Here is a 27,111-nt window from a genome sequence, read left to right as displayed (position 1 = left end):
AGAAGAACAAAAGCATTTGGAAGTAACAGGACCTCTTTCTAGCTCTCAGAAAAGTCTGAGAAGAAAGGAGCCCTGCGTTCCCCTAAGGTAAGCAGGAAAACAAGCGCTGCCGGCTTGCCTAGGAAATCGCTTCTTTCCAAACCGAGCATTTCATCCTCCTCTCAGACAAAGAGACAACCTTTAAATACCACTTAAATTTGCATTACTTTAATTTGCATTAATCTGTAGCATGCTAGCATTGTGTTTCTTAAATGAACGGGTCTTTGAAGTCTGTGACAGAGCAGGGAGCCTCCTAGAAAAGCTTGAAAATATCTTTTGGTTTGACTTAAAGAGATTTTTCTTTTCAAACTCTCTGCGTAGTTAGATGTAACTTTGTGATGGTTCTTATAGTTGACCCCGTGAAAGGGGGCTGCGAAGCAGCAACTTGCCAACATGGATTCATGGAGCCCAGTATCTTCCCCAGCACCCTCATCCCACTTACAATGGGGGCACTATTAACGCAGGCAAGACTGCGAGTTTAAAAGCGCACTGTTTACTTTTATTACTACTTATGTATGCTGCTGATCTCCTGCCAGGGCTCTGCCGGAGTGCTCAGAATGACTTCAAACAATAGGCAACATTTATTTCTAGCTTTCTGTGTCACGCTTTGCAGGAATCCTGCTCCCTTGCACTCTTCTTTCAGCGTGCAGGTCTTCGCTTCCATAGATGCATTGGGGAGCACCGGGAGGAGATGAGGATGGATTTACTGTATGATTTTGATTGGGCAAAAAGTCCGAGGAAATGCATGCTGTTTGCCTTGGACTTATTGCAGGGGGTTATTTTTAGTCATCAGCTCGTCCCTGCAGCATGATGTTCAAGGAGTGACCGGGAAAGGATGCTCCCACCAGCACAGAGACCAGGACCTGTAGGAATGACTCCTACCTGCGGGATATTCCGAGGTTTCTTTCAAACTTTGGAATACAAGTTCTCTCTTTAAATGAACAATTGAGCTGTAGGAGGCCTGGGCATAACTCTTTCTTGGGGGACGGGAAGTTTGATTGTGTACAGAATGTTAATGACTCAGAACGCCCAGTAACTGAGGCTCATTGTAATAGACAAACCCAGATAAGCCTCCATGAGAGGCAGACTCCCATCTTTACTGAGATTCAGGTGCGGGAAAGGAAGCTATTTGGCAAGATGGGAGTCCCTTGTACAGTTCTTTGTAACTCATTAATAACAGATATGGCTGCTGTGAAACATGTCTCTTTTCATTTCTAATATTAGTGTATTTTAATTACAAGGAGCTGGCATTGGCAAATTACCCCAACACATAAGATTAAATACCAGGTGCATTTGAAAACAGAGAGATGACTGAAATGGGGAGTTGCTGTGGGTGTCAACCAAATACAGCGGGGACGGCACAATGCTTCTCAACTGAGCGTTTAAACCAGATGCAAATATCTGCTCATTTTCTTCTCATCAGTCTTACTAATTCAAGGAAACTTTATGGTCCTGTTTGCCAGTTTTCATTGCAAATTGGTACACAGTTTATGCAAAACTTTTCTGATTTTCTCTGATAACCAGCCCAATAAGCATCGCTGAATGAAAATCTGATATTTGAATAGGTTAATTTACAACTTTGGGGTATTCATTAGTCAAGAAAGCCATAAAAGACACTATGGATTCCATTGCTGTAAAATTTTATTGTAATTTTTTTTTAAAAAAACTGCGGTTAGCAAAGCATTTAGCTGAATCAAAACAATTTTCTTAGACTATTATTCAGATCATTACATGAGAGTATTTGAACACAAAATGCAATGTTTTGCATCATTTATTTTAAAATACATTTGGTTCAGGTAACGGGAGAACTGGCTGAGGCCTTCTTACGACTGTGTACCAAGCAGCTGACACCCACAGATGGAAATGTGCCTGTGGAGTTTTCAATCTTAATTCGAGTTCCAATGACACTGTCAAGGGAAAAATAAATCATTTTTCAATACATTTAACAATTTCCAACTCATTTATTTTCCTGGGCCCTTGAAAAATGTGGTGAGTTTCTTGGAATTATAGCCACCAATGGTGGCCAGCAATCTTTATTTTAAGAACTCACAATTCAAGTACTATTATTCTCTGGTTAATTATTTATTTCATCAATTTTTAAATAAATATTTATTAAGCATTTTCTAGATGCCCAGTGCTATGCTAGTCCCGATGGATGCAAAGGTGAATGAGACATTGTCCCATACTCTAATTCTCAGTCCATATGCCATCTCTAGTTAGATTTTGGAACTGAAATGGGCATTGCCAATGGGTAAAGTGGGCAATAACTTTCCTGTTATAAAGAATTATTTAAAACAGCTACTGGTTTCTAGATTTACTTGAAATGATTCTCACTCATCAGTGGGTTTTCTTTCCATTTATGATTAAGGGATTCCCCTTTGGCCTTTTTCACCAGATCCTGGGTACACGTCATTTGCACAGCTAACACGGCTAGATCTTTCCAGCCTGGGTAGAAGAATCCCGGAAAAAGACAGTAGTTTATCCTTTCTCTGCTCTCCTGAGCACCCTGTGGAAAGGACCATATGCTGTCTCTATTGGGGATGGGTGTGAGTCGCCTACTCAGTAGCTAACATCAGGGCCACTTGATGAATCATCGAATTAGAAACATGCATATGGAGGAAGATGCAGTCACTATCCCTCACCACTTACTTGTCCCACCCCCAGTATCAAAACAAATGACCTCTGGGCCTGGCCTAAATTCAAGAGGCCCCTGGGAAGAAGCTGTTGGAAACTCTTCCCCAAACCCAGGTCTCCATCATAGCCACACAGTGTTGCTTTCAAATAACCCAGTATGGTGTTTTATCACGTGTTTAGGTTACTGGGGGAAAAAAAAAACCCTGAAAACAGCATCACCAGGGTCCTTGACTTGGTCCTTATCAGCAGATAATCCCCCGTGGTTGGATTAAAATGCCTCTGACTCCCTGGGGTGCCTGACTCACCCTAGCCAGCCCTCAGCTTCTTGGCCAGCGGCCTTCGAGCCCATCCTCACCTCTTCCCATGACGGCCAGTGACTGCTTCTTTGCCCAGGCCCTCTGCACTAGGCCAGCAGCCAGTGGGAGCAGAGGGGATGGGAAGGCAGGTGGACAGACTGTGAAGTGCTAAGGCAGAGCGGGGAAGCAGGGCTGTGAGACAGGGTGGGTGAGCTCCAGGGCCTGGGTTGCTGTGGCCTGCCCTGGCTGTGATCAGCTGTCATTTCCTCTTTGTGTATGACACTGTGGAACATATTAAAATTTCTCTGGGATGGTATGTTTGGAATTCCTCTGATGCCCCACCTCACCAACTTACCCGGACAATAAAAGCAAGGTTGTAAGCCTTTGAACAGCTGGCTGGCTATATATTTCCCTTCTTTCTTTCGCATAATCTAATTCAGAAAAGAATCCAGCTAGACTGGCAGTGCCATGTCTGGGTACTTGTTTCCTGCAAGTCCTTCCTCCTCCACCTCCTCCCGCCAGTCCTGGAATCTTCCTGGGTGGCATGTGGCTTTTCTTTTCTTTTGCTCACCACTGCTCCCAGCCCGCCCCCTTTTCCCTTCGCCTGAGCTCCTTCCTTTGTCAGCTGGCTCTTTGCTCTGCCTGTTTTCCAGACAGCTTGGGTCCTGTTCCATCCGGGGAGAACAGCCCATGGGATCTCCCCATCTCCATAGTATTCCCAGGATGTCATTCTTGGCACCAGCTCTGCCGGGCTGATAGGACTGGGGGGCTTTTTGTAGTCCCGAGCCTGAATCCACTCACAGAGAGGAGCAGCCACATGGCTTAGCTGCCCTTTGGGCTGCCGAGAGCGGGGCTGGAGTGACCGGGTTGGCAGGAACGAGCATACCATCACAGTGACCCGAACATCTCCGGCAAAGGCCTTGGGGTGGGAGCGCTATGGGAATGCCTGGATGCACTTCGGCCTACATTAAGAGAAATGTGGTTATTCTCTGTTTCGGGGGAGAGACAAGCGGCTTGAAACAAAGCCCTCTGGATCCTTGGCCCCTTCCCTGCCCCCTTTCCCGGTCTGTCCTTCCCACATCCCTCCCTCCCCAAACAGAAAGAAAGAGAGACAGGACTTCTAATTTGGCCAGCACAGACCCGAATGTCTTTATGAAACCCATTTAGTGAAAGAAAGAGGGGAGAAATATATTCTGGGTTGATCCGAACTAAAAAATGCATGGGGCTTTGGAGATGGGGCGGGATTTTTTCTTTCTTTCTTTCTGTCTCTTAAGAGCAGAACAACAGTTTCGTTGATGAGTTGCAAATGGAAGGAAGTGGACCTCTCAATTAGAGATTCCCATTTAAGAGCCTCAATGTAAACCTCCCTGTGACATCCTTAAAAGATGCTGCTAATGTCCCTGGGACCAAAAGGTATTAAACAGCAAGCCACCAGGCGGCTTCCTATTCCTTTTCTTTTTCTGGGGGCTTTGGTCGTCTTTTTCAAATTAGCTAAAATTCATTAAAGGACCCAAAAGGAAAAATTTAAAGCAGCTGAATTAAAATGAGTCTTTCCCTGTTAGCCTGACAAGAAGAAAAAAAGAAAGGAAGAAAGGGAAAGAAAGAGAAGAAAGAACCAATTCCCCTCCACTACCACTTCTTGGGTTTTAATATGAATTATTCCATACAAGTCCCTAGGCTAGAGGATCTATTTAAAGACGCCTGGCAGCATGAAGGGAGAGGGTAAAAATACAACCACTCTTTTGTCCATCAAAGGTTTTCTTTGGGAGGACATTAAGAGCATTCCTGTTTTCTTGTCTGCCCCTGCCAGTGGCAATGTTCCAGCTGGTAGTATCCACTCCTCGCCCATCAGGTCAGCAATCATGAACTTCTGTGTTTAATTTCAGGAGAAAACAAAGGGTGGGAAATCCTTCCGAAACCCCTATGTGTGTGCAGCAGGGCAGGGGAGGCTGGAACTGGAATCAGTACTCTCTTGGCTGTGCAGGTTGCATGCTGCAAATTCACACACCCACACAGTTGAGTTGTTGAGGAAGATTGTGCCGATGGCATTATTTCTGATGCCAGCTTCCCTTGCATCTGCAAAGCTTTTTTCTTGTGTCTCTGGCAGTCATTTGCTTGTCACCATTCATGTGCACTGTCCCCTTCATCAGAGGTTCTCAGAGCCTGATGGTCAAGGATATGTCACTAGAGTCTTACCCCCAGACCCATTTTCAACAGTAAGAACGTGAAACCCTGGATGGGGTTTGCAATCTGAAGCAACTACTTTCTTGTTAGGAAGAGTGCTGACTCAGAAAATTCAAAGAATGGGTAACTTCCGTTGGCGACATATCCCCAGTGCTCATAATCAGGAATTCATCCAGTTGGGGTCCATTTCACCCTCATGGCAAAATCTGGACATAAACATTGACTAGTAGCTTTAAACTGGGTATAAGATTTGCAACAGATAACATTTTTGTCTTTTCTTTTTTCTTTTTTTTTTCCACAAAAGCTAAGAATTTTTCAGACAATTTGCTCTCTTCCAAGGCCTGGATCAATCCCAACTTTTTCTTTTAAGCCATGATCCAACCAATTGCAGTATCCTTTAAAAATGAAAGGGCAACAGGCTAAGACATTCAAGAAAGTTGATAAGCTGTCAGAAAATGCTCAAGGGTGGCCTTTCTACAGTGCCACAAACCAACAACAGCCCTAAACGTGGAGTCCTCTTCCATCCTTTCATCAGTAGGGAATAAAAATAGGGAGAGAGCAGGTCAGGGGAGAAGTAACAAAAGAGAAGTAAGAAGGATTATTTTTGATGTTCAAAATCTGCTGCTGCCCTTTCAATATTTTCAAATATCACAATTTCAGAAAGGGAAGGATCCCTTTATTTCACCCACTCTCCCTCCCAGGAAGGTGTTTGAAGTTGCTGTCTTTACCTGAAAAGGAGGTCAACTCCTCAAGTGAAAAAACATCCCCTATCTTCAACTCGAAGTAAAATGGAGGTACACACATTTGTACCTAATTATGTGGGTACAAATATAATTTGTATCCACAAACTATAAAGGATGTAAAGAATCAAAGAAATCCAATCCTTAATCAAAGTCCAATTTTTCTTTAAAACTTGAGAGGATATTTTAGGGCTCATTGCATTGCTGTGATTTCACTGCCCCCCACCAAATTATGAAAAATTACTCCTTTTCAGAATTTAAATTTTTCTTTTGAGATGTGGAATCCAAAGGCAGCAGAATAGTATTGTTACAGGGAAGCTGGCAGTCAAAAGACATAGACATAGCTGCAGCATGCATGGTTTAAGCAAATCAAGACAAGCAGAAAACCACCACCCCAACAAGTTCAGGGTTATCAGCAATATAGGGACACGTATTTTTATGTGATTTTTATGAGAACCTTGCCCCTTTGACATATGTCTGAGTCTAGGAGCATTCCGGATTGCAACGGGATTGAATTCAGTATTCAAATCCCACCATTGGGCAGAAAAGGCAAATTGAATGGGGAATGGAAAGACTGAGTTGCTCCTATTGTTTATGCCCCATTCCTAACTAAGGGCTCTACAGCTGTTAGGTGAGATCACTACCCACCATTCCAAAGTGTTGTTGCGGGTGAGGAGGTTCAAACGCAGCTTTGGAAACACTTTGCTGCACTCTTTGAAGAAAGGCCAACATGCTCATTTGGCTCTAGGGTAAAAGAGAGCCTGTACCCTGAGCTAACATTGGTCACCTCTCCTCCTGAGGCCATACCACAGCCAGCAGTACAGCAGCAGAACAAGTGTTTAGTTGTTTCAGCACAGGTATCCCCAGAACACCTGGCACCTTTTCTTTTCCACAGGGAGAATGTACATTCATGCATTTTGGCAAGACTGAGTCCTCTGAGTTGGGTGTCTCGGAACTCTCCTATTTTCCTTCTAAAGGGTCTTATGTAAGGTGAGCAGTAGAGTGTGTCTCATTCCTCATAAAAAATCCCCTTCCTGGGAGGGAGTGGGTGAAATGAAGGGATCCTTCCCTGACTGAAATTGTGCTATTTGAAAAAATTGAAAGGGCAGTGGCAGATTTTGAACTTCAAAATGAATCCTTCCTCCTCCTCCTCCTCTTTTGTTACTTCTCCCATGACCTGCTCTCTCCCTACTTTAATTCCCCATTGAAGAAAGGATAGAAGAGGACTCTGTGTTTAGGGCTACTGTTGATTTGTGGCACTATAGAAAGGCCACCCCTAAGCATTTTCTGACAGCTCATCCCCATCTCAGTCACAGCTTTTATTTGGGTAGCTGGATTTACAGAAATAATCAAATCCCTAGAGGAAAAGACTTCAACAGAAAAGTACCTCCTGACACTTGGGTAACCTGACTTGGTCATTTCCAATTTATGCAAGATTTGTATTCTAAAAGTCAATTAGTTATGTCAACTGTTAAAAACTCAGAATGAGTCTTTCCATTCTTCAGAATGACTCTTTTCTGATTATCTGTGGGCCATAGAAGCCCACAGATACTCAGCACAGGATCCAAGTGCCATACCAAGTGGTCAACTCTTTTAGACGTAAGTCTCAGCCCAGGGCTTCTGGAATGTACCTCCCCTAGCAGAGAAGCTCTGTAGTAGATACTTTACCAAGCACAGGGCCTCGCTCTTGACCCCAAGACTACTGATTCTACTTGCAGAGAAGACAACTTTTCTAATCAATCTTTCTCTTCTATCCTGAACCAGAGTATCAGAGATTGTCCCATTAGGGCACGAGGATCTGTGGCTCAAGCTCAGTTAAGAAATAAGCGTCTTTCAAAAGAAAGGTGCAAGAGGGTGGAACTCAGCCTATATTGTCATTATCAAATGCAAGAAGTCTAATCCTAGCATGATTTATTAATATTAGCCTTTCTTCTCTCCCCGTTTATGCTTTGGTGGGTACTGGACAGAAACCCCACAAATTTTAAGACAGTTTTAAGAGAAATAGTAACTGGTTAAATATCCTCACTACTTCAAATTATTATTATTATTATTGATATTACTGTTAACTTTTGTTTTTTTGAGACAGGGTCTCACTCTGATGCCCAGGCTGGAGTGCAGTGATGCGATCACAGCCCACTGTAGGCTCAACCACCCATGCTCAGGTGATCCTCCCACCTCAACCTCCCAAGTAGCTGGGATGACAAGCGTGTACCACCATGCCTGGCTAGTATTTTTTTATTATTTTTGTAGAGATGAAGTCTCCCTGTGTTACCCAGGATGATCTTGAACTCCTGGGCTTAAGTGATCCTCCCAACACTGCCTTCTAAAGTGCTGGGTTTACAGGCATGAGCCGCTGCACTTGGCCCACTTCCTATGATTAACAGGATATTATTAATTTAGAAACTATTTAGTACATGGCAAGCACTCAGTCAAATGGTTATTAACGGCTGTTTTTATTTCAGGCCACCAATATAGCTTCATCAAGGGGCAAATACTTATAGCTTGGGCTTCAGTGTTGGATCAGACACCACCTTAGAAGTTTTTTGCAATCATTAACTCCTTAAGTAAGAAGGGAACTCTTTTTGTAGGATTGCTTTGGGGAATATGTAGCCCCAAGGCAGGGGCTGTACTCTGAGAAGCTTGGGTAGAGTTGGAGACTGTTAGAAATGGATAGACACATAAAAGCATTTAGACCAATCTGTTCATTTTGCAGATGAGGAAATTGAGTCCTAGAAAAGGCAAGTGACTTGTTCAAGATCACACAGCCAATGATGGGAGGGTAGGACTCAGGGCTTGAGGATCAGTTTCAGAATGCAGTGAAATTGTTATCCCATATTTCTTTCAAATCAGTATAGGGACACGGAACACTAACAACATAGGCGACCAATGGGTCTAGGGAGGAAAAGATGAAAGCTGTAGGTAAGTGGGAGTTTGGATAACAATGAGATGTTTTTCTGGAGTTCCTGACAATGCCTGAAAAAAAAAGTCAGGATTTTAAGCTTCAGTCAGGCTCAAGGTCGAGTCCTCCCACTCCAGTCCCTCCTCAGACAGTAAAACTTTTCAAGCCAAGGACATACATATAGGTGGGGGCATTTGACAGTTGGCTCATCTCCCCACCCTCCAAATTATTTATATTTCTAGTCCTTCAGTTTAGCACTCCTATTTACCCCAGGATTGTAATTCATTGCCTCTTTCCCTGGCCATATTCCTCCATCCTTTTTGTTTCTCCCATCTCTTTTCTTCCTCCATCACCCCCACTGCTGAGCTTGGCTACACTTGGCTAGTAGTGCAGGTTGGGAGAACACAGAGTCCTATCACAGACTGGAGGACTATTATTTAATCACAAGAATGTTGTCTTTTTTCTCCTAAGGTAGCACTCTGGGGACGGTCATTGCTGTCTTTATTCCCTCACCCCCCCACCACCCCTGCACTGGATTAGACACATGAAATGTGCCTATCTCTGAGATGAAAGGAGCAAGAACTGCTTCCTCCCCACTGACCTTTTGCCTGCCCATCCTTGGAGATACCTGGAGTTGGCAGGCTGGAGGCCTAGCAGCATTTGCAGTCAGTGCCGCTGCCTCTGGGTCAGCCCAGGCTTGGCTCCTTGGCTGCTACTGATGTGCTGCCAGCTAGGAATATTAAAAACCATTCATTGAACGCACAGGATGCTTTATAAAATCCAACATGCTGTTTACAGTTTATAAATTAACTGCCTTGGGAAGAGGCATTTGACTTATTCTCCAAGGCATCTAGTTGACTAGATCCAATTGGAATCCTTTGAGTTCCTGGGAAGGGGCTACTTAACACTTCACACTTTCTAAATTAGACCTAGAGTTTCTTGCTTTTCTGATCCTAGTACTGTATGAAGTTTTATCTAGGGTTATCTAGCAAGCTTTCTTCCACTTATAAATCTTTGATGTTTTTGCAATTTCTTTGATAGAGGCTTTATGTTCTACTATCTTCACTTTATTTATGCTTCATACCATAATTTTTTAAAAAATTACAATAAATATCAAGTAATTCTGGCTGATATACTGACTCCATTCCAAGGTCATTATATTTTATTTGCTTAACTTGGTCTTCTTAGAAATGATGCAATGAATACTGGATACAAATTAGATGTTCAGAGAGTTTATCAATGTGTCTAAAAACCATCCAGGAAAACAACAGGCCAAGACTCTGCCTGCAGAGTCAGTGAGCTAGAAGAGGGATCGAGGATAGGAACTATATTTTTCCCCTGACCCTATCTCTTATCTGCTAGAGCAAAAGGAGACACACAGTAGGTGCTCAATAAATACATGTTAAAAAATATTTGTTGAAAGAAGCCACAGAAGGGAATATCAGTATACATTAGTATTGAAAACAGCCTAGGGGGAAATATGGATACTGAAGCACCACCCTCCTGTGCCTGGCAAGCAAGGCAAGAATAAGGCCATTCTTGGCACATACCACTTAGCCTGTTGCTGAGATAACTTGCGTGAAACCAGCACTTTACCCTCTGCCAGCCAGAAGGTCAGCCCAAGAGTGAGCTGATCTGTGGGCACAACACCATCTCTCACCCAGGAGGCTGGGCCCGCTGTAAGCTCTGCTATATTATTTCCCTGAGGATGACAGGTGGGGAAATCTGGGCACCAGTTGTTCTTTTCCACTGGTATCATTTGGAAGGTAGCTCCAAAGTCGGGCACGCCAGCCTACGTGCCTCTCCTGCCGGCAGAGGCTCCACATTGGAGCTATTAGAATGTGGGCTCTGTACGTCGGCCAAGTCCATGTCTCAGAGACTGTATCCAGAGCATAGCGTGGCCACAGGGCTACTGAGTTCAGCAAGAGAGTCATTCTCTTGTTCAATCCATTATTGCCTGGGCCAAGGTTCTAAGTCTTCGTAGGCAGCATTTGATTTTATGACACGTCTTAAAAAATTAAGGCAAACTGGAATTAATTTAGTTTTGAGAAAACAACAGAAGCTGCTACAAGGCAGAGATAATTCTAGGCTGCCAGAAAGTGGTGATCTCAGTGGTGTACATTTTCTTAATTCCTGATTTTCCTCTTTGTGAGGTCTTCCTCCCACTCCCATACTTTGCACATTCTCACCTATGCACACCCTGAGCAACACAATGTTGACAACTTGACTTAGCATTGCTCTTTTCTTAAGCTTTGTTTTCATTTCTTCTTCAATACAACAGTGTTGGTTCATTCAATTTGAACACTCAAGGCAAAAAAAAAAAAAAAAATCCCAGGTTATGTTTTCAGAATCTTACCTTTTTGTTTTTGTTTTGAGGGTTCTGTGAGTTTTGTGGCATATTTACATTGTTGCTTACATTCTTATTTCAGAATTTAAGATAAAAACTGGGCAACAACTCTCACGTTTTCTGAGTGTGTTGAAATGAAAAATCTGTTTCTTAGAATTAATGGTAAAGCAACATTTCCTGTCAATCTTTCATTCTTTAATATTACTTCTGGGTTCAGCTCACCATCTCTAAAGAGAAAGCCAGATGATCAAGTTACATTGTATGTGACATTAACTATCTCTTTATCTGTGTAAATGTCATAATATCTGCTTGCAAAGTGTTTTATTCATTTTTAGGAAAAAATTTTAAACTGTGCTTGCAATTCAGGATGGTGCTACTAGGTGGCAGTAATGTACAAGAACTATGTGGTCGCCCTGGAAGAGTATTTGACTAAGAGACTAGCATGCCTTCCCGTAATTATAAGAAATAAAAATATAATATTTTTAAAATACTCAAACTGGCACAAACAGTAAACATCCATTAACTTAGTTACCATATTTAAGCTGAGCTTTTAAAAGAGAAAGCCTTATTTTTTAATGAAATTTTAAATAAAGTATACATTCACAAGCTCAAAAATCTAAAAATACGAAAAGATATATAGTGAAAAGTCTTTCTCTCATGCCTGTCCCTCAACTACCACAGGTAACTAATTTTGTTAGTTTCTTGGGTATCCTTTCAGAGCTTTGCTATACAAATATGTGTTTTTATCTCTCTCCATTTTAACTCAAATCAATACATAGAGTTTCTGCATCCTTCCATATATAGTTGGTTAGTATATTGTTGTGTGAACATTTTAGAATATAATTAACCAGTCCCCTATTAATGGATATTTCATGCTGTTTCCAATTTTATGCTATTTCAGCCATGTGCTCATGTGATTTCACATGTAGGATAATTCACAGAAGTGGAATTGCTGGGTCTAAATTATATACATTTGCATTTTTAAAAGGTATTGCCAGATTGGCCTCTACAGAGTTTGGACCAATTTATACTGAACTTTCTCCAAAATGGACTTGTTTTCCCACAGCCTTGCCAATAGGGTGCATGATCAGACTTCGGAATCTTTGTAAATCTGATTGGTTGAACAATGTATTTCAAAGTACTTTAATTTTCATTCTCTTAAATGAGACTTTTATTCTCTTAAATTCTCTTCTATCTTTAAGGGCCCTTTATATTTCCTTTTTCTGTGGAGAAAGTGGAAATGCCAATAAATACAACGATGCATACACATGTATAGGGTTTTGTTATTGATGTAGCTTGTTTTTGCCATCATGCTGTACATGATGTTCTTTAATTTGCTTTGCTCATTTAACCATACCTCCTGGCCATGGCTCTGAAGAGAAGTTGCTGGCAGTGCAGAAGAAGGGCCAGGACTGGAATGTCTGCTTCTCTCTTCATCCTTTTGCCATTGACTCCTGGGGGAAATATCTGTAGACCGAAGCAGTGAAATCTAATCAATTCTCTTTCTGACACTAATTAAGGCTTCAAAGAGACAGATAACCACTTGGGATAATTTAGTCACAGTGAAACTTGGGAAATGGTCAGTAATATTTCATCCTCTGAAAGTGGACCCCAAGAAAGTTCTGGCTCTTTGAGTTGTTGTCTTGGTAATTTTCAGGGTAACGTGTATAGGAAAACCCAGATTATGCAGATGAAAAGAAAACAAACATGCTCTTCTGCATCCTTTGCAGATTTGAAACTTTGGGCACAGGTTTGATTTATTTCAATGAGATGTTGCTATTAGCATGAACATAAAGTGGTGCAAAGTTGTGCTGGAATATGGTCTCGTCAACTTTGGGCTCACTGTCTGCATATGGAGATGATAGTAACTGAATCCATAGTTATCAAGTGGTGGCATTTTAGAACACAAAGGGACAGCAGATGCCATCTCTGTCAACTCCTTCCCTCTACAGATGAGGAAACTTGGGCTAGAGGAGGTTGAATGACTTGTGTAAGGCTTCCCCAGCTAATTAATGGCAGTGCCAGGACTCAAGTCCAGGTGGGTTCCCTCATTACTGGTCCTTGCCCTTCCTGCAATTTATAGGACTTCCCTGAGGCACATGTGCTGAGGCTTTGCTATTGCCAGGGATTCTGTGCTCTGAAACAGCCCTATCTCACACACCCCTTTCCACTTAGGATCCCCTACCTCACACTTCCAAGACAGCTAATTGAGGCTAAATGGGTCTGATGCCATTCTATTAGTGCAAAATAAATTGGCTTATGCCAACTTGAACTCCTAATCTTGATTTTATCAACACTTTGCCCTGTTTATTCAGACTGTTCATGAGTAGGAAGTTAAGGAAAATGTTGCCTATGAACAAAATGATCAAACTTTTATCTGAAATACCTTTGAAAGTTTTCCCGAAGCTTTAATTATCATGTTCCTTTTGTTTTGGATGTAATAGCAGGCCCTCCCAATTTTCCTAAATGTTTGAAAATATTTTTGATACTTTCTGTCTTCTGTTGTGGTTAAAAAAAAGAAGGCACCAGTGTTGGCTATGCCTGGGGAGTTAGTGAGGTAATCTGGAGAGATCTCTGGACCCCAGTCCTTTGTCCAAGAGGTATGGTCAAAAGAACAAAGCAAATTTCAGAAAAACCGGTATAATATGATCCTATTTTAATGGTAAGTCTGTTCCAACAACTGCTTTCTTTTTCGAATTACACCATGTGCCCAGGCTACAAAGGCTCTGCAGAAATGTGACTCTGTTGGCAAATACGCGTGTGATACCTTAACCATGCTGGAGGCCAGTTAGCATAATGTGTATTTCAGATGCAGTTTGTCATCAGTGCTGGGTGCTATGGGGCTTAAAACAAAAACAGGATGAGCCTAGAGCACAGAAGTGGAAAATTAGGTGGGTGGGTGAGTATGGACTTGGAAATGGAAAATGTGCTTCCCTGTGGGACATGGCTTGTGTTCATTAGTGCTGACCTGCCTCCTCTCTAGCCCTGTAAGCTGACGCTGACACCAAAGCTTGCTGAGAAACTGAATAGACCCTCCCGCCCCGACCAACCAAGGACAAAGATGAGACCACCCAATTCGGTTACGTTGTTGCCAGAACAACATGTTTAATCTTTAACATGGGTTCAAACTATTCTTGGCCCTAGGAACATGGACTTCAGCAATTAAAGTCAACATGTGCTTCCATTAAACCATTGTGTCCACCTCCAAATGGTTATAAATATGTAGCATAAGCTATGGGAGTTGGGGTGGAATGGATGACAGCCTTTGCTAATGACGCTCTAGAAACCAATATTCTCCTCTCAAAATAACATGGAAAAATTCTACTTAATACCTCCTGGGTTCCATTAGTGGTTCTGGGTAAATAATTCTGGGGAAAGTAATTTCTGTTTTCATTCCAGCTGTGCAGCAGATACTGTGATGATGGATTGCAAGTGCAAAGAGTAAGACAAAACTCCAGCACATAAAGGACAATGACAACCAGAAAGCTTCAGCCCGATCCTGCCCTTTCCTTGAACGGGACTGGATCCTAGGAGGTGAAGCCATTTCCAATTTTTTGTCCTCTGCCTCCCTCTGCTGTTCTTCTAGAGAAGTTTTTCCTTACAACAATGAGAAAACATGTACTAGCTGCATCCTTTTCTATGCTCTCCCTGCTGGTGATAATGGGAGATACAGACAGTAAAACGGACAGCTCATTCATAATGGACTCGGACCCTCGACGCTGCATGAGGCACCACTATGTGGATTCTATCAGTCACCCATTGTACAAGTGTAGCTCAAAGGTAAGACCAAGGTCTCTGTGAGGAGAGCATTTCCCTCAGAAACAGGCAAGAAGCCATATTTCTTTGTCAGGGGATGGAGAACTAAGATCATAGCCCAAACTTAAGTGATGTGGCTGGCCCACAGGGCTTGTGGGAGAATGAGGCTTTTAGAATTTCCCCCCGTGCTTTGCACTGTTATCAGTAAAAGTGCCTAATCAATCATGTGCACACCCATCCAGTGGGACAGGTGTCCTTTGTCCCTGGCTGTGATGTTTATGAGTGGTAGTGTGCTTTTCCAAAAAAGAAAAATGGAGTTTACAAGTCATCATAACTCTCTAGCTCCATCATCAATAAAGAGGAAGAGAATGCAAAGAATGCGATTGAGCAGTGGAACATACTTCTTGGAGGGCTCTTTAAAGAGATTCTTGGTGAAATAACTGGCTTTGTGGTCTGAGCCTTTCTTCAGGTGCTACATTTCTGTTCAAATGATTTCAAAAGATAAGATGGCAATATGATCATTTATCATTTTTACATTGCTTATCCAAATCGTTCTCATTTGGAAAAGGATGCATGTTTCTTGCAGAGGCAGTCCGTGCCTCAGTGGTGTGCAAGGGAATATCATGCTTAAAAGGCCACCAAGAGTGGCCAGCTACATGGACCACCCAGAAGGGAGGCACATTGTAGGGTGGAACATACGAGATCTCACGACTGTCACTGCCCCTAAACAGGCACAATGAATGAAATTTGTCCACACTTGGTAAATAATAATTTGTTTAGCCCAACCTCAGAGATTTTTACATTTAGTTTTGAGATGAAAATCACTTAAACATTCTCGTATGGCAAGTAATTTTTGAAATTACCAGTATAATTAAGAATTTTTTATAGTATCAATCACCAGAATTAAGACCATATAAGCCAATCCCTCCACTCTCCATTCAAAAACATTATGACTTTTGTATGCCTTGAAAATTTCCATTAATTTCTCTGATTATAGCTCAGTGATGATGATTCATTTTAGTTTAGGAGGATCAGAATTCGAGTTAAATCATTTTAACCATTATATTAATAAGATCTATGACTGTGGGAAAAAATAGAGATTTTCCACTTAATAAAAACTTTCTGGCTCTTATTTGTGCTTGTAGAACCAAAAAAAAATGGAGTAAATAGATGAACATAAATTTTTGCAGGGCCACAATTCCTTCTTAGGAAAGGGAAACTAAAACAAATTGAGAAAAAACATGAGAAGTGCTTTTACAAGTGTGATTGCTCAGAAATTGTGGGCCCATGTAAGGTTGACTGCAGCAATTATTAGTTTCTCCTTCCCTCCCCCTTCAGAAACAGACAGCATGAATATTTAGTGATTTTATTCCATGGATAATTTCTTTCCGTATTGAGTTGTCCTCCATAATCGTGATTCTTTTTTAAAAAAAGGAATTAAAATTATTTCAAAGAAAGTGTCACTATGATGATAGAAAGGAACAAAGAAATAGGAGCATCTATAAAAACTAGAAAACAATCTGGAAAGACTGGACAAAATGATGGAGGAGTACTTTGGCAACAATCACATTAATCTAGCGAAGGTCAAAGAAGAGACATCATGAACTCAAACCGAAGAAATTCACATGTGAATTCTGAGCATGAGTCTTAGAAACAGACTTTAGTGTACTGTTATTCACCTTTGTTTCTTCCAGAAAGCCATGGCAAATAACAGCGCAAAATTGTGATAGCAGGAGAAATGTTTGTAATTTCATGGGAACAATCTGTTTTCAAACATCCCAAACTATCCCAAATATAGCAATAGTTTTATGTAAATGGTGCTTGCAATTATAAACCTTTCTTCCCTGGCCATAAAATATGCCTGGCAAAATCTCAACTACCCAGACCTTTTCTAGGTTAGATTTTTCTCTATGTATCCAGGAGCAAAACTGTTTTCATTTGGAAATGTTCTATAATTCTTAACTCTTACATTCTCGGGCTGATCTTTTCTCTAATGGGTCTCACTTAATGAAATTGTTTGCCTTTAGAGACTTGGATAAAACATTTAGCCTATGTCTAGAAAAGAGGCAACAACAATCTACCCTAGCTTCTTTTTACAAAGAAAAGACTGGGATAGATTTTTTTGTCTCTATAAAAATTATCCCTTGACATCATGTTCAAGGGTCATTATTTATTAAACATGTGCCTACTGTTTGCCTGCCAATTGTTAATGCTTTCTGACTCACATTTATCCATTATCTGGCCTTGTAAAGGCAAGAAAGGGAGAATGTGACCCAGGCTCAGGGAAGGGAGTGTACCTGCTTGAACACCTAATATATGTGTCAGGCACCTCATATTGTATATTATAATCATTGCCAAGAAACCTGTGATGGCAGGCATTATTATTCCCATTATCCTGGTAAGGAAAACTGAAGCCCAAAATAATTAGATTGCTTGATATCATATAGCCAGGGAGTGGCAATGTCTGCCTTACAGCATTCATCTTCCCACTACTTGGATCTTCATATTGGAGGAACACAAGTAGAATGTAGGAGCCATCACATAGAAGTTCAGGCTCTGCTTCTGATCTGCTGGCAGTAATAATTTATACTCAGCAATGTTTCTAGAAAAAATAAATAATAGTGAAAGCCTTTCTGGGAGCTTTCAATGAGACTGTTCATCCCAGCCCTGAACTTGCAGCTGGCCAGTCCTAGGTCCCTGCTGCCCATCTCCTAGCAATTCCGGAAAGGACTGAGAGGGAGTCAGGCAGAAAAGACTGGCCACAGTGGCCCACCAAAGAGGACAGTGTGGCCACAGATTAGGATGTGCCTGATAGTTTTAAGTGGTGGCACCTCCTGGGTTTGGGTACAAAAGATCCTGGGAGTAGCAGGTTCATTTATAATCTTCATGGAAGACTAAGTTTCTCTAAAATTTGGAGTAAAGGCTGTAGAGCAAACAGGCAAAAGACCAGTTGATAGTGGAAACAGACTGCCTGGTGGAATCTCTATGAGAACTGAGGCATGCCAGGCTTTGAAGTGAGAGAGACCTGGTTTCCAATTCCAGCTCCATGGCTTGCCGAATGAGTGACTTTGAGGAAGTTCAGTAACTTCCTTCTTTGTGCCTCAGTTTCTTCCCATGCAAAATAGAGCTGTCTACCTGAGGGTATGGGTATGGGTGTTGGTGATTTGTAAAGCATCCAGCGGTGTCCAGCACATAATAGCCATTTAATAGAAGATATTATGATCTTGATGATAAAGTTATAAACTAAGCAGGTGTTTAGACTCAATTTTCTATTTCAGTCACAACTGAGATCTCAATAACTGCTGGGATCTCCTATAGCCTTAAAAGATTAGGAAAATGAACCTTATTGTAGTTCTTGTTAAGCACAGGGTGGGGCAGAAGAGCAAAGTAAATGTAAGCCACTGTGCTGGGTGCTAACAGGGAGGATAAAAGTAAAAGAGAAACAGCCCCGATATCTGTCTAACCTTCCTTCCCAGATGAGTGGAGGAAGGAGGGGCTGGAGGGGGATGAGTTTTGGACTTGGGCCAGGGAGGGGATTTCAGGAATGGAGGGTGGGAAAGCAAACTGGCAGGGAAGACCTGGAAAGTCTCAGTTGGGTGAGGAGTGGGGGATGCTGGCCCCAGGCCAGGGCATGGAACCAGGGCATGACTATCTGAACCGGTAAGGGCCACAGGAGCAGGTGGGGAACTGGAAGAGCAACAACAAAGGATAAGGAGGAAGAGGTTTGGGAGACAAAACCTAGGAAAAGAGGACCTGGTATGCTAAGGGCTGAGTCCTAACAGCTTCCTAACAGGACCCCCAAGCCATCTTCTACTGCTACCCACCAAGCTCATGGTGTGATAGGAGAAATGGAGGGAGTCAGGAAAATTGTGTTTATAATACAATAGACTTCTTGAGAGATATAATTTGATTTTTTTAAAAGGAACAAATTTATACTGAGTGCCTACCATGTCCAGGTGCTGTGGAAGGTGCTGGAGACTCTAAAGTGGAAAGAAAGAAAAAAGAGACAATTTTTTTGCCTTCATGATGCTTACAAGAAAATGGGGAGAGAGGGAGGAGGGGTGTTCTGTGCACAAAGATCAGTTTGTATCTGTTTGATTCATGACCGGAGTGAAGGGACCAGTTTCTAGTTGGAGTGAGCTGAGTTCCCATCCACCCTTTCAAAGCCCCCACCATCTCTCTGCTGCTTTGTTCCCTGGTTGCAATTTTCTTGGTGCCCTCAGCCTAGCACAGATCTTTTGGAGGTTGACCTGGGTCCCTGAAGATGAGCGGAGTTATGAGGCTGCCCGTGGGGAAAGAATGGGAGAAGAAGCATGGGTGAATCTTGTTCCTGAGGTTATAGAGGGTGTTTCAAGAGGTGCCATGGAAATAAGGGTGCATAGTGTTCACTGCTGCGAAAAAGGCAAAATACTTTTCCACTCTGTCGGAGTAAAATCGCAAAAATGCTCTTCTAGGGTGGGACAGGTGGGTCTTTATTCTGATGCTAATGGTGACATCTGGTCAGTCAAGGCTCTTGGAAGATTCAGCTCTGCATAAGCTTGGGGATGGTGAAGCTAATGTCCCAAGAAGCCCACAAGAAAAAGTTAGACTTGTATGTCTATGGATATGGTCAGGGGTTTCTGAGGCAAATCAATGTAGATAAGGAAGTCTGTGAGTTGGCATATGCTTGAGGAAAACATGGTATCAGGAGGCAGGTATTATACTGGTTTAGGTCAGGGCTTTGGTTTCAGATAGACCTTGGTTTGATTCCAGCTCTGCATTTTACCACCTATGTGAGTTTGGGCAAGTTACTGGAACTCTCTAAAGCTTGAGTTTCCTTATCTGTCCTAATAGTGTAGATCATAACAGTACTTTCTTGTAGGGTTGTTGTAAGGATGAAATAACTCACATTGCAAGTGCTCAATAAATGTTCTTATTAGCGAAATGATGGTTATCTAGTGATTCATCTAGAGCACAGCCCTCAAACTTGAATGGGTCCAGAGACCTGCTACTCAAAGTGTGGGCACCAGCCCAGTAGGACTGACATCAACTGGAATCTGATGGGAAATGCAGAATCTCAGGCTCTAGGCCAGAACTACTCAATCAGAACTTGCCTTTTAACAAGATCCTAGATGATTCACACGCACATTCCAGTCTGAGAAGCTCTGATCCGGAAGAGATCAGGAGATGTTCAAGTGCTGAAACACAAGTAAGGCATGGCAGAAGCTAAAATGTGAAGTATTGAGAGTAAACCAGGAGAGCAGATGGTTATTCCTTCCATCCCTTAAGGATCTTATCTTTCAAACTTCTGCTTTACCACTTCAACACACAAAACAGAGATAGATTTCCTTCTAGGAGTGTGTGTGTGTGTGTGTGTGTGTGTGTGTGTTGAGAACATCAATGGTTCAATAATTGCTTCATAGTCTTTTCTTCCAGGAAAGAGCATTTGAATTTGGCTACAGAGAATAGATAGGTGGGATTTTATTAGGCAGAGCAAGGTGGAAAGGACATATTTGGGAGACAGAAGACATAAGCAAAGGCAAGAGGCAGGAGAATTCAGGGCACTTTCTTGGACTCCTAAGTAGTTAAGTTTGACTGGAGTAGGGAGTGGGTAGTAGAGTGATGAGAATAGTTGTAAGTAAGACTGGAAATACATGTGAAACCTGGGTCATGAAGGGCCTTGACTCCTCTTCAAGATTTTGGATTTTATTCTGAACTACTGAAGGCATTTATTGTACATGTCTGTGCATTCTTCTTGCACAAACAGTCCAGCTCCCAAGGAAGAGGGGCCCAGCCCATTGGAGGTGGCCCCACGTCCTTCAGTGCCTGGAGTTCTTGTCCTTCAGAGTGGGCTGGGGGTGGAGCTGGACATCCTGAAAACTTTTAGTGAGATTGCAATCAGATGAGCTCATTTACAAATGGCCCTACGCTGTTGACTTGGTCATTTTATGGACAGTGCTAATGGCCCAGTCAGTTAGGCCTACGTTTGGTTCACCTGTGTATACATCACTTGGATATTATGTCCCATATCATTGTTGGCCCTTCTGAGTTAAGTTCGTTGGCACAGATTTACTTTGTCCACCCAGACTGAAACTGCACCTCTGAAGACTCCATCACGGAAGGTGACTCTGTGAATAACTGCTTAGTCAACCTAATAGATGATCTAGATGAGAGATTAGCAAATTTAACACTACTCCAAGGTGAGGTATCAAGCAGCTCTTCCCACATACAGGGAGATGGGGGGAGAACAGACTAAGGAAGATCTTGGACTCTCTCTCTCATTAGAGAAATGGGGGTGGGAATTAGGGACTAGCCTGTGTACTACTGACCTATGGCATAGTCTCTCAAAACCCATTTCAGAGCCAGGCACAGTGGTACATGCCTGTAGTCCTGGCTACACAGGAGGCTGAGGCAGGAGGATCCCTTGAGCTCAGGAGTTTAAGGCTGTAGTGTGCTATGATCATGCCTGTGAATAACCACTGCACTGCAGCCTGGACAACATAGCAAGACTCTGTCTCTAAAAACAAAACAAAACAAACAAACAATCATTTCTGATAGTTTACTTTGCCTGTCAAAATGAAGAGCAGGTAGGATAGAATCAAAAGCTTTAAAAAAATCAAAACAGCTTACAGCTGCTATTTTCTCTCTGCCTCTGCGATCATTCAGAGAAAATAAATTCACTGGTCTAGTCCAACTTATTCTTCCCTAAGCCCTGCTGTTTTTTTTTTCTAGTATTTCATATTGCCTTGGTGGTTGCTAAGTGATTGTTGGATTTAGCCCCAGTATATTCTCAGATAACTATGCCAATAATCTATAATTACCAGAATTCATCTTTTCTCCCTTTTGGAAAGATGGACTGGCTATTTTTTTCTTGTAAACCTTGGGTGTTTAATTCTGCCCTACAGGATGATGTCAGAGATAATAGCTGGTGAGTCTTTAATAATAACTGCGAATTCCTACAATATTGTAAGGTAAACGTCAAAAGGTTTCATGCATATATATGTATCTTTTAATCTTTCATTTGAACAGTTTCACTTTTTATGATCTTGCTGTTGGTTCTGGAATTATAGGACAAATTTTTCTTTTCTTTTCTTTTCTTTTTGAGACAGGGCCTTGCTCTGTCACTCATGCTGGAGTACAGTGGCTTGATCATAGCTTCCTGCAGCCTCTAATTCCTGGGTTCAAGTGATCCTCCTGCCTCAGCTGCCAAAGTAGCTGGGACTACAGGTGCACATCACCACGCCTGGTTAACTTTTTATTTTTTTTTTTAGAGACACGGTCATGCTATGTTGCCCAGGCTGGTCTCAAACTCCTGGGGTCAAGTGATCCTCCTGCCTCAGACTCCAAAGTGTTGGGATTATAGGCATGAGACAATACACCTGGCCCAGGGGATTTTTTTCTCCATCACTTAACATGAAATTCACCAAGCAAAACCTCTTACATAACCATGGGACCAATAATCTCAGATTCTCCATTCCCCTCCCCACCTTGATATTAGGATTATGCAGCTTAATGAGTCAAGCTGTCCCACCCTACCCACCTATTACTCCCACTCCCAGGATACCAGGAGTTTTGTATGGGATACATAAATGATCCTTTTTTCCATTCCGTTAAGCTGTATGCAAATTGTGTGTGTGCTTATGTACATTTTTCTGGGGATAACTTTGGTAGTTTTCATCAGATTCTTAAAGGTGTCTGTTTGCTAAAGCCAGATTAAGAGCTACTATAAAGAACACATAGCCTCCGTTATTCCAGCCCAATCTTTGGAAATAGAGATTATCAGAATGGGTACATCCTAATATTTGCCGCAAATGACTCTGAAGATGCGGATGCAATTACATAAATCCCAGGCTCCTTCAACATATAAACCCAGAAGTGTGATTTCAGGGCCCCAGACATGCCCTGTCTCTACTTCATTCTCTTGTCCCAAATTGCAGCACCCAGAATATTTCTTCCTAAGCATTACTCAGGCTATCCTATTTTCTTATTCAGAAACTATATTCCTGTTCTTTAGCTATTTCCTGCACAAATCAATTTCTTTTTTTTTTTTTTTTTTTTGGTAGTCATTTTAATTTACTTCTTGGTTTCAATTTGGATTGACTTTCTGCATTTTGCTACTGGTAGAATTGCAATGCATTGGGCCAGTGGTAGACCACTACCTGTCAGGAGAAATTTCTTTTGTTCTTTGGTTTTTACTCGCACATCACAGTGATGGGCGTCATTCAGTGGTTCTAAACCCTCAGTACACTTAGAAATCACCTAAGAAGCTTTGAAAACCATGAAAGCCTGGTCCCTATCTCCAAGGATTTTAATTCAATCGATCTGAATGAGGCCTGGGTGTTGACTTAAAAAAAATGCAACATGCATTGAGCCACTGGTCTAATCTAGCAGGAATTGGCAACGAGTGTGAGGGTCTTTCAAAAGATGCTGTTTTACCTGGCTAAGGTTGTGGCATGCCCACAGAGTAACCACCTCCTTTTCTTTCCCCAGATGGTGCTCCTGGCCAGGTGCGAGGGGCACTGCAGCCAGGCGTCACGCTCCGAGCCTTTGGTGTCGTTCAGCACTGTCCTCAAGCAACCCTTCCGTTCCTCCTGTCACTGCTGCCGGCCCCAGACTTCCAAGCTGAAGGCACTGCGGCTGCGATGCTCAGGGGGCATGCGACTCACTGCCACCTACCGGTACATCCTCTCCTGTCACTGCGAGGAATGCAATTCCTGAGGCCCGCTGCTGTGTGTGGCTTCTGGATGGGACAACTGTAGAGGCAGTTCGACCAGCCAGGGAAAGACTGGCAAGAAAAGAGTTAAGGCAAAAAAGGATGCAACAATTCTCCCGGGACTCTGCATATTCTAGTAATAAAGACTCTACATGCTTGTTGACAGAGAGAGATACTCTGGGAACTTCTTTGCAGTTCCCATCTCCTTTCTCTGGTACAATTTCTTTTGGTTCATTTTCAGATTCAGGCATTTTCCCCCTTGGCTCTCAATGCTGTTTGGGTTTCCAACAATTCAGCATTAGTGGGAAAAAGTGGGCCCTCATACACAAGCGTGTCAGGCTGTCAGTGTTTGGTGCACGCTGGGGAAGAATTTACTTTGGAAAGTAGAAAAGCCCAGCTTTTCCTGGGACATCTTCTGTTATTGTTGATGTTTTTTTTTACCTTGTCATTTTGGTCTAAGGTTGCCATTGCTGCTAAAGGTTACCGATTTCAAAGTCCAGATACCAAGCATGTGGATATGTTTAGCTACGTTTACTCACAGCCAGCGAACTGACATTAAAATAACTAACAAACAGATTCTTTTATGTGATGCTGGAACTCTTGACAGCTATAATTATTATTCAGAAATGACTTTTTGAAAGTAAAAGCAGCATAAAGAATTTGTCACAGGAAGGCTGTCTCAGATAAATTATGGTAAAATTTTGTAAGGGAGCAGACTTTTAAAGACTTGCACAAATACGGATCCTGCACTGACTCTGGAAAAGGCATATATGTACTAGTGGCATGGAGAATGCACCATACTCATGCATGCAAATTAGACAACCAAGTATGAATCTATTTGTGGGTGTGCTATAGCTTTAGCCGTGTCACGGGCATCATTCTCTAATATCCACTTGTCCATGTGAAACATGTTGCCAAAATGGTGGCCTGGCTTGTCTTCTGAACGTTTGGTTCAAATGTGTTTTGGTCCTGGAGGCTCAAATTTTGAGTTATTCCCACGTTTTGAAATAAAAAGAGTATATTCAAAATTTTGACTGTTTAAGTATTTTTTTCCTACTTGATATCCTACTATCATGTGGACTAGAACATACATGTAGCTAGTGCTTGAGCATCTCCTATGATATAGTAAAAGAGTCAAAAAAAAAAAAAAGGAGACAGAAATGGGGTTCCAGAATGCATTGTGGGAACATTTTTTTGAAATCAATGTAACAAGGTGTTGAGGGCTTATTAAATTTGACTCTGAGTTTTAGATTTTAGCCCATTGAATAAACACAAAATCTAATGCATTTTGGCTTCCTTGGAAGCTATGGAATGAAACAGAGGAGTCCCCTCCTTTTTAATTTCTTCACTTTTCTCAGAAGAAAATAAATATCCATAAGTGAAGTTGGAAGAACCAGCAGAAGGACAAATAGTTAACAACATTTCTGTGCCATTGACTGTGCAGTGCTCAGGATCGAATGATATTACTGGGCATTACAAGAATACTCATGATGTTAGCACAGTGCTATGTCCCTCTTAGGTATCTCAATACAAATCCAGACTTGGCAATTCAGTTTCCAGGGCAACCTTGTCCTGGTTAACTAGAGATGATATTAACTCCCCCACTGTTAGTACAGCCAACCTGTGAATTACTTTTCCAGTAGAGATAATGGTTTTGAACACTCTTTGGCACAGCTTTCACACATTCTTAAGAAAGCCAGCAGGGTTATACTTGTATTCATGGCTTTGAAACAGAATGAAACTAATGCTATTAAATCTTGACCTTGATCTTAATCTCTGTGGTGACACAGCCAGCCAGTCTCCTAAATTGGAGGTTCTCCTCATTCTGAAGGCAAATGCGAAATGGCAGTTTGGACCATTACATGAAGAATTTTGTCATAAATGGAATTAAATTTAATACTGAAAGTTAAATGGTTATAATTTTTAACTGATAATGAAAGTATTAACTGTTGGTCACATTTATGACTGTTCTTTCATGTTGCTAATCAAAAAGTGAAAAATAATACTTCCAGCCTTAAAAAGTATTTTCTGGGCCTTAAAAACTCAATTTTCTTTGAGAATCTATAATCTATACCCTAAACTCTAGTCTTTATTTCCTTCTACCAATTTGGGACTACAGGGGGCAGTTATATGACTCATATCTTCCAAATTCTCTGGAAGCCATAGAAAATAGTCCCTTCAAATCCCATTACATGGTCTATTGACAAAGTTTCCCCCATGGAAATGAGCAGAATATACTTGGAGCATTAAAGAATCACAGGACAGTGGCCTTGGAAGAACTATTAGAAAGCATACATCCTCTTCTCTCCTTAAATACATGAGCAAATGGAGGCCTGTAGAAATCCAGGAACTGGCTGAAAGTCACAGACACTCTTGGATTTGGAACTCGAACCCACGCTTCCTGCTCCTCACAACCCTGACTGCTTTAATTTCCTTCCTGCCACCAGTGAAAGGAGCCTGGCTCCTTTCAGGATCTTAGAGTGTGGCGAGACAGGGTAAAGTTTAGGGGAATAGCAAGGCTGAGAAAGGGGAAAAATAGTTATATTTTCCCTAAAGACCTAAAAATAGCCTTGGGAACTGAGAGATTTCAGACATTACTGGATATTAAGTTACTATGGAATTTGTTTTCTATCTTTTAAAAATTAAACATATTTAGCCTTATTTTGGTGTCTACCCCTAAGGATTGAGAGACAACCAAATGAAAACATTGATCAGTTAAAAACATTACTCCTGGAATGTCTAAGAAGTGTTCATTTGCTTCCCCATTTACTATGCATGAGAAAATTAAAGTATGTTATAATTTTAGTAGCTTACCTCTTAGAAATCTGTCTGATAATCTATAATGGTGGAGGGCAAGCCTCCTGTAAACTGATCTTGCCCTCATCATTTTTAAGCATTTAATAATAATGAGTTAGTACTGCAGTGGAAGATAGGTTTATGAACTTAATTGATTTTCTTGACATCCCAGTTTTACAGACCAATACCTTAAATCTTAATACACATAAGCTCCTGAACTATCCCCAGAAGCTCAAAATGAAGGACAAATCAACCTTTCTAGGTCCTGAGGAAATAGTGGTTGATTTTCTTCTAAACTCCTGTGTTTGCTAGTCCACCCAACACATTATTTTGTGTTAGGTAGAGCAGGTCGCATACACGTTATGACTGGGAAACTGAGTAAGTTGATTTCTTCTTTGTGACCTTGAATAAATTAAGGTATGGGTTTGCTTTTGTTCACTTCTTTGGGCACCACTGAAACCTATACACTTGAGCAAGAGAGCTGCCCAAGATGAAACACCAAATGTATTGGGGCTGAGGGGTGGGTAGGGGTGAGAAAGCTTAGATCAGAAAGGGAAGCCATATCCCGCTGATGCTGCACTCGTCATGACTCTAGGGTACAGACACCTCCTGGTGGACAGACACACCTGTTCTCTTCAGGAGCTAGAACAGTAGAGAGACTTGAATCTGGGAAGAGTTCTTCCCATCACTGCATCATTACACTCTGGGAGGAACTCTTTGCTTGTTTC

General features: G+C 41.8%; 1 protein-coding gene and 1 long non-coding RNA gene across 2 annotated transcripts, besides 2 other annotated features; one reads left to right on the top strand and one right to left on the bottom strand.

The window, feature by feature from the left end:
- NDP (norrin cystine knot growth factor NDP) lies at positions 1-24,615 on the top strand. Its single transcript, NM_000266.4, has 3 exons — positions 1-87; positions 14,539-14,919; positions 23,365-24,615. The coding sequence occupies exons 2-3, from the start codon at positions 14,746-14,748 to the stop codon at positions 23,590-23,592; spliced, it is 402 nt and encodes a 133-aa protein (NP_000257.1). The 5' UTR covers positions 1-87; positions 14,539-14,745; the 3' UTR covers positions 23,593-24,615.
- On the bottom strand, positions 1,839-23,659 carry NDP-AS1 (NDP antisense RNA 1). Its single transcript, NR_046631.1, has 6 exons — positions 23,311-23,659; positions 19,989-20,072; positions 18,843-18,875; positions 12,497-12,606; positions 3,771-3,931; positions 1,839-1,946 (listed from the first exon to the last, which is right to left on the bottom strand). It is a non-coding gene; the product is annotated as an NDP antisense RNA 1 (long non-coding RNA).
- Positions 22,948-23,464: an enhancer, noted in NCBI's record as "H3K4me1 hESC enhancer chrX:43809173-43809689 (GRCh37/hg19 assembly coordinates)". NCBI's record gives its function as "activates a minimal SCP1, AML or CMV promoter by ChIP-STARR-seq in primed H9 embryonic stem cells {active_cell/tissue: H9 hESC(primed)}" and the evidence as "EXISTENCE:reporter gene assay evidence [ECO:0000049][PMID:30033119]".
- Positions 23,465-23,982: an enhancer, noted in NCBI's record as "H3K4me1 hESC enhancer chrX:43808655-43809172 (GRCh37/hg19 assembly coordinates)". NCBI's record gives its function as "activates a minimal SCP1, AML or CMV promoter by ChIP-STARR-seq in primed H9 embryonic stem cells {active_cell/tissue: H9 hESC(primed)}" and the evidence as "EXISTENCE:reporter gene assay evidence [ECO:0000049][PMID:30033119]".

Source organism: Homo sapiens, chromosome X, assembly GCF_000001405.40.
Source record: "Homo sapiens chromosome X, GRCh38.p14 Primary Assembly".
Lineage (NCBI taxonomy): Eukaryota > Metazoa > Chordata > Mammalia > Primates > Hominidae > Homo > Homo sapiens.
The sequence above is the reverse complement of the archived record's forward strand: the minus strand, read 5'-3'. Positions and strand labels throughout refer to the sequence as shown.

Excerpts from the sequence above, each read along its gene's own strand:
- NDP (NM_000266.4), top strand. The coding sequence starts at position 14,746 with ATGAGAAAACATGTACTAGCTGCATCCTTTTCTATGCTCTCCCTGCTG. Across the intron at positions 14,920-23,364 it reads TGTACAAGTGTAGCTCAAAG|ATGGTGCTCCTGGCCAGGTG; the intron begins GTAAGACCAAGG and ends TTCTTTCCCCAG.